At 34.8% G+C, this 18,554-nt stretch overlaps 1 long non-coding RNA gene across 1 annotated transcript; it reads right to left on the bottom strand.

Annotated features, from left to right (window-relative positions):
* Positions 1-234: 234 nt before the first annotated feature.
* Positions 235-18,548, bottom strand: LOC105376588 (uncharacterized). The gene is made up of 3 exons (XR_931118.3): positions 18,431-18,548; positions 1,753-1,799; positions 235-519 (listed from the first exon to the last, which is right to left on the bottom strand). It is a non-coding gene; the product is annotated as an uncharacterized LOC105376588 (long non-coding RNA).
* Positions 18,549-18,554: the final 6 nt, after the last annotated feature.

Genomic DNA, 18,554 nt, shown 5'->3' with positions numbered 1-18,554 from the left:
ATAAATAGCAGGGCCTTTAAAACCAAAGTTCTTAATCTGGATATCAGGGGTTATATAAACACTCCAAAATTGCACAAAACAATGTGTAGGGGTGTTTGGAGTGCTGAGCGGAGAGGGAAGAGGGCTCAGAGCTTTTCTCAAGTTCTCAAAATCACCATTATTTAAGAAAAATACTCACATATTCCACTTTATAATTTCTTGGCAAGAATGGATTCAGAAAGAATTGGAGTTGAGTGCATTGTTTGAATCTCTTTAATCATGCTAGAGTGTTCCAGGTTTATGACAGAAAGCAGAAGGGATGTAGTAGTAGTGCTCTGCCAGTCTCATCCCTGACTGGCTCAGGGGCAAGGGGGTGAGGGAAGAAAGAGCATACTTTAGGGCCTTCAGAAATATTATAATTCAGCAGCCGTTGTTTGAGCCCTGTCATATTTCCTCTACCTCTTCTGTAACTTGGCTCTTCACAGCTTGAGCAACACACAGGCTCATTCCCGCTCCACTCAGCCTGTTGTAATTTCAGATCTGGAAGCAATAAATGAAGACCAAAATCAACAACACATTTCTCAATATCTTTAAATATTAGCTCTGCTCTCTTTCAGTTAATTATCAAAACATATCTGCACTCAGTTTGTGCTGGAGAATATAAACTATAATTCTTTATTTACCGGTTATAATCAAGTCTGTTTGTAGGAATTAATATTTCCAGGTTAGCTTTTTCATATTCCCTTCATTTTTTCTCTCTGCATCATTCACATTTTGTTCTTAAATGAACAAAAATATATCGGAGAGATGAATACCTGTACTACATTGTTTTGACCCATCTTAATAAAATTGCTTTTACTAAATTGTAATTGATATGGAAGAGATTAAACTTCATTCAGGAATATTAAAAATCAGTTTTAATATTGATTATAGGATCATGACTGAAGATGTTGATCACTGTAATCTCACAGAGAACTCCGTTACAGAGACCCCCTCAATGTGCTGTTCCAGGAGAAATTTATATCAAATCTCATTATTGTGTAAAATATACTGCCAAGAAACTAGAAAGTTTATACCATATGTCTATAGTAAACTTTGAAATTTGCTTTAAGTTTTTGCTTTGGCTGCTAGAAAATTTAGAGTCACATAGATGACTTATCTCTAGCGATGATGTAGGATTGCATGGTATAGATTTTGGGAACAATGCTTTTTTAATTCCTTACTTTAGTTTCATTGTTACCTCTATTATTATTATTATTTTTTTTTTTTTGCCTCATATCTGTGTTACCCAGTGGCATTACATGCATTTGTGTAAACTGGTATTTTGGATCAGGTTGAGTGTTATCAATGTATACAAGAAATACATAATTTTTAGAAGCATATATTGCTTTAAATTTATGAACTGAATATGAACTAAATAAAACCCTAGGTGTCAGACCTGTGTATTGTGTTTCATCTTTAAATTTGAAATATCTTTCCTCTGTACTCACTCCACAGAGGTGTCTGTCACAGTTCAGTGAAGCACCCAGAGGTCACTACAAGTGACCTGTGAATTTACATCCCCATAAATAATCATTCGCAAGCAGGCTATGGCCCCAGTGTTCACCCCAAGCACAGAGGAACCTTGCATGGGTTAAATTAACCAGCCAGGAGAACATGTGAGCTGAACATATGGTGAAGTGTTTAGAGGTTTAGAAAAGCAAGTTTCTAGTGCAAACAGAGTCTGGCCTCTGAGACCCCACTGTCAGCATGAAAAAAGATCTCCTTACTTACCAGAGTGAAAAGAAAGGGGCGCTTTCAATTACTTCACCTTCTTAGCTCTACACAATGAAACAGGAGGAGAAATTGCACATTAATGGAGAGGAAAACAAGTGTAAGTTCCTCAGGGAAGTCATACAAGGCTGCAGAAGGTGCATAAAAAGTAGTTTGCAGCTCTGATTGGAAGTGAAAAGAGAAGAAATCGGAAGTGAAATCCCACAAATTAAAATTAAAACTGCAATTCCCTTGAGCGCTCTGATCCACACATCCCCCAGACCATCCCCCACACTGCTCTAATTGTACCACTTCAAACCTAATGAGTTGGGTTTGGAAGTACCAAGGTCTCTAAATGAAACCATTTATCATTGTAACGCTCTTATTAGATATTTGATTGAGCACTTGTTTTTAAGGCTTAGAAATACAACATAGAAATCAGTCATTGGAGGCATCTTCACTTGTGTTTAGAAAAAAATGAAAAAAATATGCTTAGACTAAGAAACAGTGAGTTGTTAAAGATATTATTTGGCTGACTCCTTAATTTACTCTTAGGAAGATTTGAAGCTGGAATTTTAATTCCTATTCTACTCATTGAGATTGGCATTTTAAAACAGTTGTTGGTTGATTTCAACATGTGAGAAATAAGAGGAGTCTCCTCTTGCAGCTGAGTAGTTAGTAAAATATCTTATTTTCTCTATTTATCTCTGAAATTATATGTAAAATGAAGATTATAACATTACCTATGTCATAGAATTATTACAATTAAATGTTATAATATGACAAAAGTGCTTAGGGCAGTGTCTAGCACATGGTAAATGCTTCACAAGTAGTAGCTGTTATTATTCTTGCACTTGTGCCCAACCTTCTGGAGTTAGAATAGCAAATCAACATTTGTTTGATAGCATAACATTATTCCCCATCATTCTCAAATACATAATTAAAGAAACACAAAATTAAAAAAATACAATGCCTATAATCTTGGCAAAGATTTAAACATTTGCTAATTCTCAGTATTAGTGAAAGTAAAGATACTTTCAATAATTATAGGTAGAAATGCTTTTTGAGCCTTTTTTTTTTTGAAGTGAAATTTGGCAATATCTGTCAAACTATTAAATGCTGATACACCTGAATGCAGGAATTCCACTTCTAGGAGTATTAATCACAGCAATTTTTATAGTTGCAAAAAAATTTGGAAATGACTTAAATGTTTATAAATGTGCTAACAGTTAATTAAATTGTGGTACATCCATACAATGGGATTTTAGCTAGTTATTAAAAAGCAGGGTAGATCTTTATAATATTTTGATTATGAAAAAATAACCAAGATAAAGAATTACGTGTCAACAGAAGGTTATAAAACAAAATGTATAAATGTATAAATGCATGAATTATATTAAAAATTCCTGTAATGTATGCATATGTAAATTAAACCATCGTGTTAACAGGTTAAAAAGTAAAAACTGTATGATAGTCTTAATAGATTCAGAAAAAGCATTTAACAAAACTCAATACCCATTGATAACTAAAAAATAACCTCTCAGAAAGCTAGGAATAGGCCAGGAGTGGTGACTCACTCTTGTAATCCCAACACTTTGGGAGGCTAAGGTGGGCAGATTGCTTGAGGCCAGGGGTTCAAGACCATCCTGGCCAACATTGCGAAACCTTGTCTTCACTAAAACTACAAAAAAAAAAAAAAAACCCAGCAGGCTGTGGTGTTGCACACCTGTAATCCCAGCTACTTGAAAGTCTGAAGCAGGAGAATCACTTGAGTCCGAAAGGCAGAGGTTGTAGTGAGCCCAGATTGCACCTGGGCAATGGAGCAAGACTGTCTCAAAAACAAACAAACAAAGCTAGGAATAAAAATAATAATTTCTCAATCAGATAATGAATATCTATGAAAAACCTGTAATTAGTATCATAATTAATGGTAAAAGACTAAGTGTTTTCTTCTTAAGATTACAAACAATACGGGGCCGGGCACGGTGGCTCACGCCTGTAATCCCAGCACTTTGGGAGGCTGAGGCGGGTGGATCACGAGATCAGGAGATCGAGACCATCCTGGCTAACACGGTGAAACCCCGTCTCTACTAAAAATACAGAAAATTAGCCAGGCGCGTGGTGGCGGGCGCCTATATTCCCAGCTACCTGGGAGGCTGAGGCAGGAGAATGGCGTGAACCCAGGGAGGCGGGGGGGTTGGGGGTGGTGGGGTGGTGTGGAGCTTGCAGTGAGCTGAGATCGCGCCACCGCTCTCAAGCCTGGGAGACACAGCAAGACTCCCTCTCAAAAAAAAAAAAAAAAAAAAAGATTGGAAACAATACAAGGATGTCCTCTCTCTACACTTTTACTAAAGACCATATTGGAAGTCTTAGGACAAGAGGAAGACATACGATTGTATTATATCCAGTTAATATTGATGTTTATACAGAAAACTCTATTTGACTTATAAAAATAAGTTACTAGAATTAATAAGTACATTAACGTTACTGAATATAAAGTATGCATAATAAATGGATTGTACGTCTATTAGCAAGAAGTAGAAATTGACCTTTAAAAATAATAGCATTTACAGCAGCATCAAAATTATTAATATTCAGGAATAAAGTTAACAAAATATGTGCAAAAGCTGTGCACTGAAAATTACAAAATATTGCTGAGAGAAATTGAAGAAAACCTAAATAAATAGAGAGACTGGAAGAGTTAACATCAAAATGTTAGTTTTCTACAAGTTAATCCACAATTCACAGTAAAATCTCAGTAAGGTTTTTTTTTACGTGGTAGAATTGATGAGCTAAATGTAAAGTTTATTTTTAAAATGTGAAGGACCCAGAATAACAAAATGGGTTAGAAAAAAATTAAAGTTTAAGGACTTTTACTACTAAATTTACACACTTAATATAAAACTCCGATAATTAAAACAGTATGGTACAAATGTAAAAATATATCTAAGTGGAAGAGAATAGAGATCCCAGAAATAGGTTCCTTCTTATCAATTGATGTTCAACGAAGTCACCGAAGCAACCTAAAATATAATCTTTCAAACAAATTATGCTGGACTGATTAGATAACCATACACAAAAAATTAGCCTACACCCTTGCCACATACTACACACAAATTTAATTTGAAATGAATAAAAAAACTAAAGGTAATAGTCACACATATAAAACTTCCAGGAAAACAAAGGTAGAAGAAAATCAATGTGACCCTGGGTTGAGGAAAGTTAGCTAGGACACAAAAAGCAATAGATGATAAAGAAAACATGATAGATCTCATTAAAAGACATTGTAATGAGAATCAAAAGGCAAGCCACAGCATGAGAGTAATATTTGCCAAACATATATCTGATAAAGAACTTTGTTTCTGAACCAAACAACACAGGTTCTCAGTTATAACTGGGAGCGGGACAATGAGAACACTTGGATACAGGGAGGGAAACAACACATACTGGAGCCTGTATGGCGAGGGCGGGGGCTGGGGAGAGCATCAGGAAAAATAGCTAATGCATGCCAGGCTTAATACTTAGGTAATGCGTTGATAGGTGCAGCAAACCACCATGACACATGTTTACCAATGTAACAAACCTGCACATCCTGCATATGTACCCCAGAACTTAAAATAAAATTTAAAAAAAGAATTTGTTTCCAGAATATATAGAAAGAACACTTTATTAATCAATAACAAGAGTAAAAATAGCCCAATCAAAAATGGAAAAAATTTTGAAGAAATATTTTACCAAGAAGATATAAGAATAGCAAATATGCATATAAAAAGATGCTCAAAAACTTTAGTTGTTAGAGAAATGCAAATTAAAATCACCACAATGGCATACAACTACATAGCCACTAAAATAGCTAAAATTACAAAGATTAACAATAGCAGGTGTGGCAAGGACATATACACTAGCAGTGTATGAGACTGTAGCCTTCATACACTGCTAGTAGAATGTGGTTTGGTGAAAATAAGTTTGGCAGTTTCTCAATGACATACACTTACCACATAAACCAGCAATTCCACATCTAGGTGTTTACCAGGAGAAATGAAAACACATATTTACACAAAGATTTGTGCTTGAGTGTTCATAGTAGATTTATTTAAATAGCCAAAAATTGAGCACCATGCAAATGTCCATCACCTGGTGAGTAGATAAATAAATCATGGTATATAGAGATAACAGAATAATATTTGGCAATGAAAAGAAATGAACTATTAATACATGTAACAATTGGATAAACCACAATGGCATTTTGGTAGGTGAAAAAAAAAAAAGCCAGCCACAGAAGATCACACGCTGCATGGTTTCACTTATTTGAATTGTTAGAAAAGGTAAAACCAATAGAGATAGCACATCAGTGGCAGGAGGTCTAAGAAGGAGCTTCATTGTAAAGAAATTTAAAGGAAACTTTTAGAGTAATGTAAATATGACTGTGTCGGTGACTATGTTAATACACACATCAAAACTCAATAAAATGTACACTTAAAATTGGTGAATTTTCCTCTATGTAGATTATACTTCAATAAAGTTAAAAGAAAATTGATGTTTTAATGGTGAAAAGATAATCAAAATATAGAATTTAGTGTCAAGATCATTATGAACTATTACGTATAAAATGATCAATTTATTTTAAAAAAATCTATATGCATATGTGTGTACCTTTCTAGAATATAAACAAACAACAAGTAGTTACTTCTGGGGCAAAGTAGAAGAGTTTGAGGGTGGAGAAAGGGACCTTTAAAGTTTAATTATCTCATTCTCTTCTGTACTCTTAATTCCTTTTTACCATGAATGTGCCTTCTTTATTTATAAAAAATTAAATGAGTAAAAAATGAAAAATAAAGCACCGGTTTGAATACTAAGACCATACTTTCTTAAATAAAAAATCAGGGCATAGGGATTCAGTAGAGGATGTGAAGTAGATATTGTCTCCACAGAAATTCTGGTAATCATAAGAATAAATTATATTTATTTTCATAAAAATGGATTCTGATTTCTATAATTTAGAAACTCTTGGCACAGCTGGAAAAATTCTTGGGTGCTATAAATCGATAATGGTGATCATTGATTTATGACAAATCAAGCATTTACTATAATGATGCCTATTAATTTTTGGCTTAATATACCAGTAACTCATCATTTGTATATAGAGGCTAGTTCAGAAATAAGAGGAAGAATATTCGTAAGATTATTTTAGTTCAAAATGAAAAAAATATTTTATTAGATACTATGGGGAAAATTGATTTTTTCACAACTCTCTATAATATATTAATGACATTATGAAAATTGACACCATTTTTAGCCTCTAAAATGCTAAAGCCTGGTTATATTTCAAGTGGTAATATATAGGCCGCTAATATCCTGAAATTAGTTAGACACAGATATGGCAAAGCCAGGCAGGCCACTAATAACCAGGCAGGGAATGTGAGGTGCTCATCATGTGTTCTCTAGGAAGGCAGAGATTTTTGTTCCGTTCAGTACTGTATCCCCATAGACTAGTACAATGCCTGACACATACAGACCAATTCATTAAATATTTTTTGAATGCCTGAAGTACCTAAAAATATGGTTTGTGTAATTGATGACTGAATAAGGTCAATAAATAAATTTTTTCAGGTTATTTGATTCAACAAGTTATGATTACATTCTTCTTAAGGATAACACTGTGCAATGAGCACCATGGTGGGTAGAAGCTTCTTTAAAGCTTTTGGCTTTAAAAAAGGTTTGGCACAACTAATGTTTGTTAAATATATATTATGTGTCAAGTGTCACAGTGGACACATTATTAGCAATCCTTACAAGCCTCCTGGAAAATCAATGAGACTCAGATAATTCAAATGATTTGATAACGTTCACATTGTTGGAAAGTAGTTGAATCCCTGTTCAACTTCCAGTTGGCTTGGACATTACTATGTGCTTTCTATTATCCCAAGTTTTTTATATCTGGTCAAGGATATAATAAAGCAACTAATATGTGTAAAAAACAATATACGACCAAGGATAAAATGCGTAACTTATGGAGGAATCAAAAATAGTATGTGAGATCATTGCAGGCTGGAAAAGTTGAAGGTTATTTTTTATTTATCTATTTTTTAAGAAGACAGAATTTAGCTACACCCCCAAAAAACATGATAATGTATTAATGCAGACTCTTCTGGAAGCCATGAGAAAACAAATGAAGATTTCTGACTTGATGTGTGGCATGACGATGGTGATGTTTTGGGAGGTTCATTTTGGATCAACAAGGCAAGCTGTAAGAAAAAAGGAAGCCCTTTGGATTCCCAAGATCTAAGGAGTATTTCATTTCAGTCACTGATGTGTAGTAAGTTGGAATATCAATGAGTACAAGTTTTATTGTGGATTGCTACTGTATTCTGCAATAACTAAAACATAGATAATCAAAACAATCAGAAAAGAGTATCTAATCACCACCTATGGCATAGAAGTCTGATATATAAAAGTGATTTTTTTTTTTTTGGAAAAAGGAAGAGCTGTCCTCATATTCTCTTGGAATTAGAACCCCAAAAACATACTTGTCTCTCTGAACATTCCTATGGAGCATACTTTAAAAAACGTTTGATATGCACTAAAATATCATTTGGCTCCTCAAGAGTCTAAGATAAAGTTTGAATCCCTAGGTCTTTGGTTTTCAAGTTCTTTGGCTTCACTTTAATAATAATTTGTACTATAATTCTGATTATAACTGATAACACTGTTGTGAGATGTTCTAATCATCTCATTTAAAATGTGACCTCCAAATCAGAATTTCCAAGAGAATATTGCATGACTAAATAAATATTAAAAACACAAAAACCAAAATTGAGTAAGAGATGTTAAAGGCCTTAACAGGGCAATAGTCAGTGACAATTTCCCAAAAAGTATGTATATTATAGAGTTTCCAACTTTTTTGATCATTGAAACTTTCATTGGCTACTAAGTTGAAGTACTAGAATTTTTCAAAATGTATTTTAGTAAATACTGCTCTGAATGTAGGTTTTAAACATTGGAGAAATTAAAAAGTAGAAAACAATTAGTTATTGATATTCTCCAGGTAATAAATTATACTCTTCTCTGCCCTTTGTTGTCGTAGCCCTTATTCCTTTGTAAGCAAGATACGGTGGGAAGAGTATGGGTTTTGTTATCAAATAAATCTGGGTCTTATTCTTGTTTTATAGTGTGTGTGTGTGTGTGTGTGTTAGTGTGTGTGTGTATGTATGCATGTAAAAACATTTAAAATTTTTCAGTTTGTTTGATGTTGTTTTGCTTATTTTCTCTGAGACTTAATAAATTTAAAATCTTTTATGAATGATTGGTCCATAGTAGAACCAAAGTCCCTACCCTGGTTATATAATGTTAAAATTAAACTTACTGTGCTTTCTCCCTTGATGGCTGGCATTTTTGGCACAGATTCAATGCCAACAGTATGCCTAAAAAACAGGGATCTAGTTAAAATGAGAAGACCTGAATTCCGTTCTTTTGAAACTCTGGACTTCCCGTCCCCCCGCTTTTTTTAACCAAAGGAATAATTTCCACAGACCTCAAAGAGAGGAGAAATCCAAATAATTCAAATAAAAATTCATCTCCCAGATCTCTTTTCTGATGGTCATGTCTCTAGATAATTAGTAACTCAATGGGAAATTCATTAGTTTGGGCACAAGGCCCAATTTCAGAAACATTTTATTTTCACCTTCACACCTTTGAGGAAATTCTTCTTTTAGGTGTCTGGGTTTGGGATCTGAGTGAAACTGTCATATCTTAATTATATTCAAAGCTACTCTCTTGACTTCTATTTCAGCTGTGACATTAGCCTTCACACTTGGATTGGCTTGAATTCTCTCTGGCTTGAGAGTGAGAATTTCATATGTTTTCTTTTCATCTGCAGACATCTGTATTCTTTTTAACTCAGGACTGTAATACCTACGGAGCAGGAAGGGCTTGAGCACATTGTGATCACTGTGGGACTTGATCCTTTCAGGCCAAAAGCTACAAAAATCCTTTTACCAGCACTCCAAAGAAATTTTTTCACACCAAAGACCAAGGATAGAGAACATCAAATTATTATAATTATGATTTTAGAAAACACGATTTTTCTTTAACTGTAGTTTACCCGTCATTACTCACTTTGTCCACACCAGCTGTATTAAATGAATTATTAGAAGAAAATCTATTTTTAATTTAGAGAAGTAGCTAACCTCCCTTGGTGCTGTGGAGACACAAACGTGTTATTAATTTATATGTTAGATGTACTTACTAAGTGCATTCTTGTGAATGAGGAAGAGTCATGGTCCCATAATCTGTACAGAGTTTTATAATTGTTAGGGTATATTTTTATTCATTACATCATTTGATTTTTTTTGCAATTCTATGAGGAATGGAATGGGTATTATTGGTGGAAAATATGAAACCCAGAGATTTAAAGACTTGCTAAGGTTACGTATAAGTGGGTGAATTAAGACTATAACACAAGTTGTTTTTTTTTTTTTGCATTTTCTTAGCTCTTTGTATTTGTAGGTCTACAGCTTTATGTTGCCTCTTAAAAATGTGGCCACTAACTTTGAGGAAATAATTTAACTGAAGAGAAATGATAAATAAAATAAAACATAATGAAAATTTAAGAGATATCATAAAATTTCATTTTAGTTAAATTAATGTGTGTTTTCAGTTCATTACTGGACTTGTATTTCCAATTTCTGCCCAAGAATTTTGTCATTAGATTGGGCATTTGACATCTTCACTAATCCATTCCCTAAAGAAACAGTTAGAGATTTTTTAGACTGGATTAATAAATAATAATAATGTTCTAACATAAGCAGGAATTACTGATGTTTTTCAAGCTGATCACATTTCAACTGGAGCCATTTGTTGAATTCATTTGATAAACTAATCAGCGACCTGGAATGGCCATACAGAAATATCATGTTTTTCAACAAACAACAGAAGAATCTAGGGAAAAACCAGCTGTGTGTCTACCTTGGAAAAGAAAGACTCTAGAGAACATAAGTATCACCTAAATTTTTGAATGAGCCTCATGTTTAAGAAGGCATAGATTTAGTCACATATTTTTTCATGTTTGCATAACAGGGATAAATAACACTTTGAGTATTGTCAGAAAAGAAAGGAAATACAATATTTGTATATGCTAATATCCATGTAATTTATCAAAATTATTCTTTACAGAAAATCTTATATTTTGTGATGCTCTTGTATTGTTCAATATTCATCACAACTTTGGGGCTTTGATTAATGATTTGAAATTTTACTTTATTTTTCAACCATTAAGTTTCATTTTCATGAAAATATACTACCAGAAATGCAAAGTTCATTTTTCTATAAATAACTTGGAGTCCAAAAGAAGATAGTCATAATTTCAGTTTGGAATAACAGAATTGGGACTTCTTAGCAAGTGGTTCGTGTGTAATGAAATATTAAATATTCTGTGTTGTTTTGGTATTTTCTGATGAGTCAATAGTGCTCCTAACAATGGATTCTGAAAGTCTAGTGGACTCTTGCAATCTTAAAAGTGACTTATTTTCTACAGTAAATTTCCTTGCTAAAGGGAACTGGCTGGTAACTCCTGAAATTGAGAGCCTGAGCATTTCTGGATTTCCAGTGGAGATAAAACAACTCAGGGGACAATATGCATGATGGATTTTGTGCCTGTATCTAAGAAATGTAAAAGTAATTAGGTGAAAGTGATCAGGAAAAGAATAAGATAGAGATGAAGGACATGATAGAGATGTGATGACATCCAGGGATTTTGACAGTATTGCTCTTGGTCCTTCACAGGACCAAGATACATAATGAGTGAATGAATACACAAATGAGTGAATGAATAAAGTTATGCCTTCTCAAGTATTCATTTTAAGGAAACTTTAAAGAAAAGGGAAAGAGAGACTTTGTGACCAGTTAAGTGTAACATTATTTGTCCACTTTAAGGGTTTTACAGCTTTAGGAAGCACGTACAGACTTCCAGTTAAGACAGCACTATTCTAGGCCAAATGTGGCAATGATGGATCTTGCAGGGCACCGTCTGTAGGCAGGGAGTGACCAACAGACATAACAGATCAAAAAATGAATGTGGTTGGAAAGTGAACAAAACTAGAAGACATGAATAAGTGTCAGAATTATTTATCCATCATGAACAATTTCTTTCTCTACTTAGAGTCCATCCAAGTCTTCTTTCAACCTTCCTTTTAAGCTTCAGGTCCTACAGCTTTCTCTTGCTGCATTCTATTTATCCTAGATTGTTTACTCTTTCCCAAAATGGCTTATAAACATAAATGCTATTCCTTCTGCCTGAAATGTACTTTTTTCTGGTTTTTTTTTTTTTTTTTTTTTTTTTTTTGAGACAGAATCTCACTTTGTTGCCCAGGCTGGAGTGCACTGGCATGATCTTGGCTCACTGCAACCTCCACTGCCTGGGTCAAGCAATTTTCCCGCCTCAGCCTCCAGAATAGCTGGGATTACAGACGCCCGCCACCACACCCGGCTAATTTTTGTGTTTTTAGTAGATATGGAGTTTCATCATATTGGTCAGGCTGGTTTTGAACTCCTAACCTCAGGTGATCCACCTGCCTCAGCCTCCTAAAGTGCTGGGATTACAGGTGTGAGCCACTGTGCTAGGCCAAAATGTACTTCTTATCCTCCTCTTCTCACTTGTAAAACTACTCATTCCTTACGATTCAATTCAAACGTATCGTTCAATGAGAATCCTTGTTTCATTTCTGTTCCCCAAACTCCAGCAGAAATAATTTTGTTTTCCTTCAATAGAGTTCCCACTATAATGTTACTACACTAACCATATTATTTCATAATTAGATATTCACATCCTTTCCTACTAGATTAACAATTATTTGAGAGACTTTGTATCACATTAATGTTGAAATTTCTAGCACCTACCATAGTCCTTAGCATATAACAAATCTGGTAAATAAATGAATAGATGATGTGAAAACTAGATGGTGAATATGCACCTTTGAATGACATTTATGCATCCCCTAGCCATTTATTTATTCATGCAACCATGCATGCATTTATATGGCCAAAAATAAAAAAATATATTGAATAACTCCTATGCTATTATTTAGAAATATTATTTCCATCATGGGGCTGAAAGGATTGACTTTTGCCCAGTTTTACCCACCCCCAAACCATCCCTGACATTGTGAGCTGTTCAGTCTCGCAGTCCATAATAACTAATAGCTTGCTCCCATGCTTTCTTTACCCCAGTGACTTGCTGCTGCATAGCTGGTAGCTGAGTTCTCTAGGGAACCTCTTTCCAGATTTGATTTATGCCTGAACAAAACCCCGGTAGCCATTTGGAGGTAAGGTCAATACTTCTGCAAGGGTTTCTGCTCTTTGATACCGTGCAGTGCCAGCCTGTGAGTAATGTGGCAAACTGGATCTAATAGCAGTTAATGAAGCCAGTCCACATTTCCTTGGCAGGCACCTTAGTCCCTGTTCTCCATATACTTGAACTAAGATGCCTCTTGCTAGCTTAGCGTGGTGCAGAGGGGAGGGCATGGCCTGCCAGATGTGAAATTACGGGGGCAGAGTAAATTGGTACAAAGCACCCTGTGAGTGCACTACTTAATAATGGAAACGTGTTTCAATGAGTCACCACAATAACCCTCTGCAATAGGGATTATGATCTTCCTTTTACAGAAAGAGAAAATGAGGTACTGAGATACTGAGTAACTTAAGTAACTTAAGTTAGAGCCACAGCTAGCAAATGATAGAGTCAGGATTGAAGGCCAGACCCAGTTGATTTCAATGTTCAAGGGTACATTGTTTTTCTGTACAATCAGGTACCATCCCAGGAAGGTTAATTTCAACTCAATACGAAACAAGACTTTCTAAAAAATAGAGCTATCAAAAGAATAAATGTCTTCAAAACTCAGTGAACTCATTAAGCAGAATTCAGTAAGAGGTCAGAAGAACATGACAGAATAAAACTGTCAAAGAAGCTGGAAAATGAATTACTCTATTTGTTGGAATGTTGGTTTATATATTCCCCTTTTTGTCTAAGATTCTGTGATTGCATAGCAATTATAGACAGACACACACACACACACACACACACACACACACACATAGAAAGCCCTCACGTTAATGCGTAAAAGATTAACATATGTAAAACTGTGTGTGTCCCAAATGTAAGTGCAGACAAAATTAATAATAGTAGTTAGTATTAATTGAACCTCTACACTACACTCTCCTTTATACTAGAAGATATGCCTAACACATTTCATGCATTATCTCAATTAAGGGACACAACAATAGTAGCTACCATACAGGAATTTTATACAGATTAAATTAATACATGTAAATTGCTTAGAACAATGCCTGACATATAGTAAGTGTTAAATGTTAAATGTTATCATTATTACTATTAAATATTAAATTACTACCAAATGTTTATTACTATTACTAATACCTAATAAATGTTTAACTATTACTATTACTATTAATGTTATTAATAGTTATTACTATTACTATTAATTGTTATTACTATTAAATGTTAAATTACTATTAAGTGTTAAATGTTACCATTATTACTATTATTCCTTGTAGCAAGGAATAATAATAGAACATCAGTAAGTCACATATTTTGGTAGACTGCAAATTCAGTAAGGAAAGAGGGAAAGAAAATGAGAGGAGAAAGGAGCAAGTAAGTTGTCTTACTATTTACTATGATGTGGGTAAAGGCAAGTTGGTATTTTAACCCAGAGTAAATATTTAGGCAAGTGTCTTAATCTTGCAAAGCCTTAATTTCCTTACCCCTAAAAAGGGAATGATTATAGCACCTACTTCATAGGGTTGTTTTGAAGATCGTATAATATCATGCAACCAAAGTACAAAATTTGGTGCTTTGAAAATACATGTCTTTAGAAAAATCTCCAAACACTTAAAATCATGTAAATTCACAAGTTGGCATAAAATAGCTCCAGATATTTTTTCTTTCTGTTCTCACTGTTTTCTCTCCCCTAGATAATTCTATTGAATCTAATAGGGCTTATCAATGCCCAGTGCGGTGGCTCAAGCCTGTTAAGCCTAACACTTTAAGAGTCCGACACGGGAGGATCGCTTGAACCCAGGAGTTCAAGACGGCCTGAGTGACACAGGGAGACCCCCATCTCTACAAGTAGTAATAATAAAATTAGCCAGGTGTGGAGGTGCATGCTTGTAGTCCCAGCTACTCGAGAGGCTGAGCAATCAGAAAGATTGCTTGAACCCATCAGGTGGAGGCTGCAGTGAGTGATGATCACGCCACTGCACCCGAGCCTGACTGACAGAGCAAGACCCTGTATCAAAAAAGAAAGAAAGAAAGAAAGAAAGAAAGAAAGAAAGAAAGAAAGAAAGAAAGAGAGAGAGAGAGAGAGAGAGAGAGGGAGGGAGGGAGGGAGGGAGGGAGGGAGGAAGGGAGGAAAGGAAGGAAGGAAATTAGCCACTCATGGTGGTGCACATCTGTAGTCCCAGCTACAAGGGAGGCTGAGGTAAGAGGATTGCTTGAGCCTGGGAGGTTGAGGCTGCATGAGCTGTGACCTTGCCACTGCACTCCAACCTGGATAACAGAATGAGATCTTGCCTCAAAAAAAAAAAAAAAAAAAAAAAAAAGGCTAGTAGGATTTATTAGAAAACAGAAAAGAACAAAGAAACAAAGATTTATATGGCTCCAAAACGAATTTCATGATTTTACTAAAAATATGATTCAATAAAAATTTATTAAGAATTTATTATGTTACCAGAGCAATTGTATTTTTCTCAGTAATGTGAAGGAAACATGAGTATATGAAAATGCATAACATGGAAAAGGCATGCCTTTAGTAGCCAGAGAGCCTGACTTGAAGTCCCACATATACATTGAACAATATTTTGGGCCAGTGTTTTAACAACTCTTGGCCTCAGTTTCTCCATTCATAAAATGGGAATGATAACAGTATCACATAGACAGTTGTGAGGATTAGTTAAAATAATCATGGCAAATGCTGGTGCATAACAGCCATTCCATGTGTGTTAGCCATTAATTGCATATAAAGCAACAACAATTTCCAAATAAATATCGCTATACAATGACAATTTTCATGTACATTCATAGTAACAAAACAGAATATTTAAAAACTAAAATTGGCATGAAATTTTGTGATTTAGGATCATTCCCACACACACAATGCAACCTCCAAAAATTTATAATTTTGATGAGAATAGAATACTTGCACATAAGTAACAACCAAGAATAAGAAGCACATGTAAATAATGATATATTAGGCCGGGCGCAGTGGCTCAAGCCTATAATCCCTGCACTTTGGGAGGCCAAGGTGGGCGGATCATGAGGTCAGGAGATCGAGACCATCCTGGCTAACATGGTGAAACCCCGTCTCTACTAAAAATACAAAAAATTTAGCCGGGCATGGTGGCGGGCGCCTGTAGTCGCAGCTACTCGGGAGGCTGAAGTAGGAGAATGGCGTGAACCCGAGAGGCGGAGCTTGCAGTGAGGCGAGATCCGAGATCACGCCACTGCACTCCAGCCTGGGCGATAGAGCAAGACTCCGTCTCAAAAAAAAAAAAAAAAAGAAAGAAAGAAAAGAAAAAAAATATAAAGAAATGTGAAAGATCTCAACTACAGAAAAAAAGTAAGTATAAAATGGCAAGTACAATGGATGCACCCTGCACTAATGATGAGCTCTATAAGGACCAAGACCACACTTCTTTCACTGTTCATTGTTCATGTGAGGCCCCCTCACATGGGGCCTATCACAATGTCTTTTTTCAATACTGTACTTATTGTATAAATTTTAAAAGTGCAAAAAGTGATGGTTATAAAGTCCACTGTAGAACCACTAGAAATGTTAATTTATTGTATCCTAGAGAAAAGCACAATATAATATTCTAATTATATATTACTAAATACATTTATTTACCCGTATAAACCTTAAATAAAAGGATTTTTTAAAAAAATCTTGCTGATATGTTAATACCTTAACATGTTTTATTTCAACCCACAAAGTTTGAAGGCATCTTAAAGAAATACTGATTCAATCTGCTGAGGTTACAGACAAGGAAACAGAAGCCTAGAAAGGAGAAGTGATTTACCCAAGTTTGTTCAGGATCGAGTATCAAAGGCCAGATTTCTCAGTCCCCTGTTTCTTTCTACTGGACCACACTGCTTCATTCCTACTCCACCAACACACACACACGTGCGCACACACACATGCACACACAGAGTTAAGCACTTGCTTTAAGTAAATTTTATCTATTTATCCAGTATTTCTCCATGAAGTTTAGGAAAATAATTCGTCTATATTACCCATTATAATATAGGGCACGCAGAATGTGTTCAGTAAATGTTTGTTTAAATATTGATTCCCTCCAACGGAATTAATATAGAGTTTCAAAAGATAAGATTTTTCAGATCTGGAAAAGGGGCAAGATTAGAGCCCATTTCAGTAGATAAGAATTTGACAATATTCTCTCAACAAATATTCATAACATACTTACATATTAGGCTCTAGGAATAGAGTGAAAAACAAAAACTTGTACTGTTCCTGTTCTCACAGTTGTCCCTGCATTGTCAGGGAGGTAACATCAATTAGTTAAATAGCTGTACAAGCAATGTATAATTACGAACTGAGAAAAATCTATGGAAGTAATTTAACATGATTTTGTGAAAGCTTATAACGAAGTAATCTTCCACTAGAAAGTGATACATGAGTTTGAATATCTGCTGAAGGATCAGTAGAAGTTACGGAATGACACCAGTATAACATGAAGAATCTGAGGCTCTATGAGGAGACTGTCTGATCAGAGTGATGAACACACGGTGATGAGAAATGAGATATGGGAAGGATTATTAGAAATAAGAATGGACAGATGGATGGAATCAAGGCAAGATTATAAAAAACTTTGAAGATATAATAAAAAGATTAACAAAAAAGGAGACATTAAATAATAGTAAGCAATAATAGAAGATATAAATAATAGAAGATACATATACAAATATAAGTAAGAAATAATAGAAGAAATAATAGTAAGAAACAATAGAAGATACTTATATTTATATGTACAAATATAAGATGACCCTGATTAAGTGCTTTACAGACATTATCTCCTTTGACCTAATTACTTCCATATTTACTGATGAGGAAACTGAGGCTCAGAGATACCAGACAATTTACTGAAATATGTCAATCAGTAAGTGCTCACTTCAAGCCATGACTGCCTGCATTTGAGTAGAAGTTTTCCAGAAGAGGACTGAAGTAACGACAATTGATCATGCCTTATACGATAGATTGGAGAAGCTATAAGACAATTGAGTATGGCTTCTAGAAGGGATTGGAGGAACTAGGATCAGGGGGCTGTTTCAGCATCCAAATGGGAAGAAATCTGGGCCTTACACCAGAGTATTGCTCATGAGAGAGGATAAATCCAGCCAAATTGACAGAATAAAATGTCTTTAAAAGGAAATTTTAATAAGAAACTGGTGTTCAAGGAGGCGGGTGTTAAATTAGGAGGGGGAGAAGTCTATTTAAATTTTATACATGGAGTGCACTAGTAAAAATATAAAACATTTTTAAAAAGTTAGTAATTCAAGGTTCAAGGTTCAAGCTTGTCTGAAATGGGCTTTCAAATATTCTTCAGAATTTATGACTCAATGCCAAATGTATTCAACTAATACATATGTTAAAATGCACACTACACGTCTTACTTTTGACTAATGAGATTTCAAATCCACCCCGATTCACTCCCGTTTACAGAAGGAAATTAAAAAATTGATTGGTTACTTCCTTCGCTGCATACGAACACCTTGATTGGCCAGCTGCCGTGGCTAG

This window comes from Homo sapiens, chromosome 11 (assembly GCF_000001405.40).
Source record: "Homo sapiens chromosome 11, GRCh38.p14 Primary Assembly".
NCBI classification, from domain to species: Eukaryota; Metazoa; Chordata; class Mammalia; order Primates; family Hominidae; genus Homo; species Homo sapiens.
The sequence above is the reverse complement of the archived record's forward strand: the minus strand, read 5'-3'. Positions and strand labels throughout refer to the sequence as shown.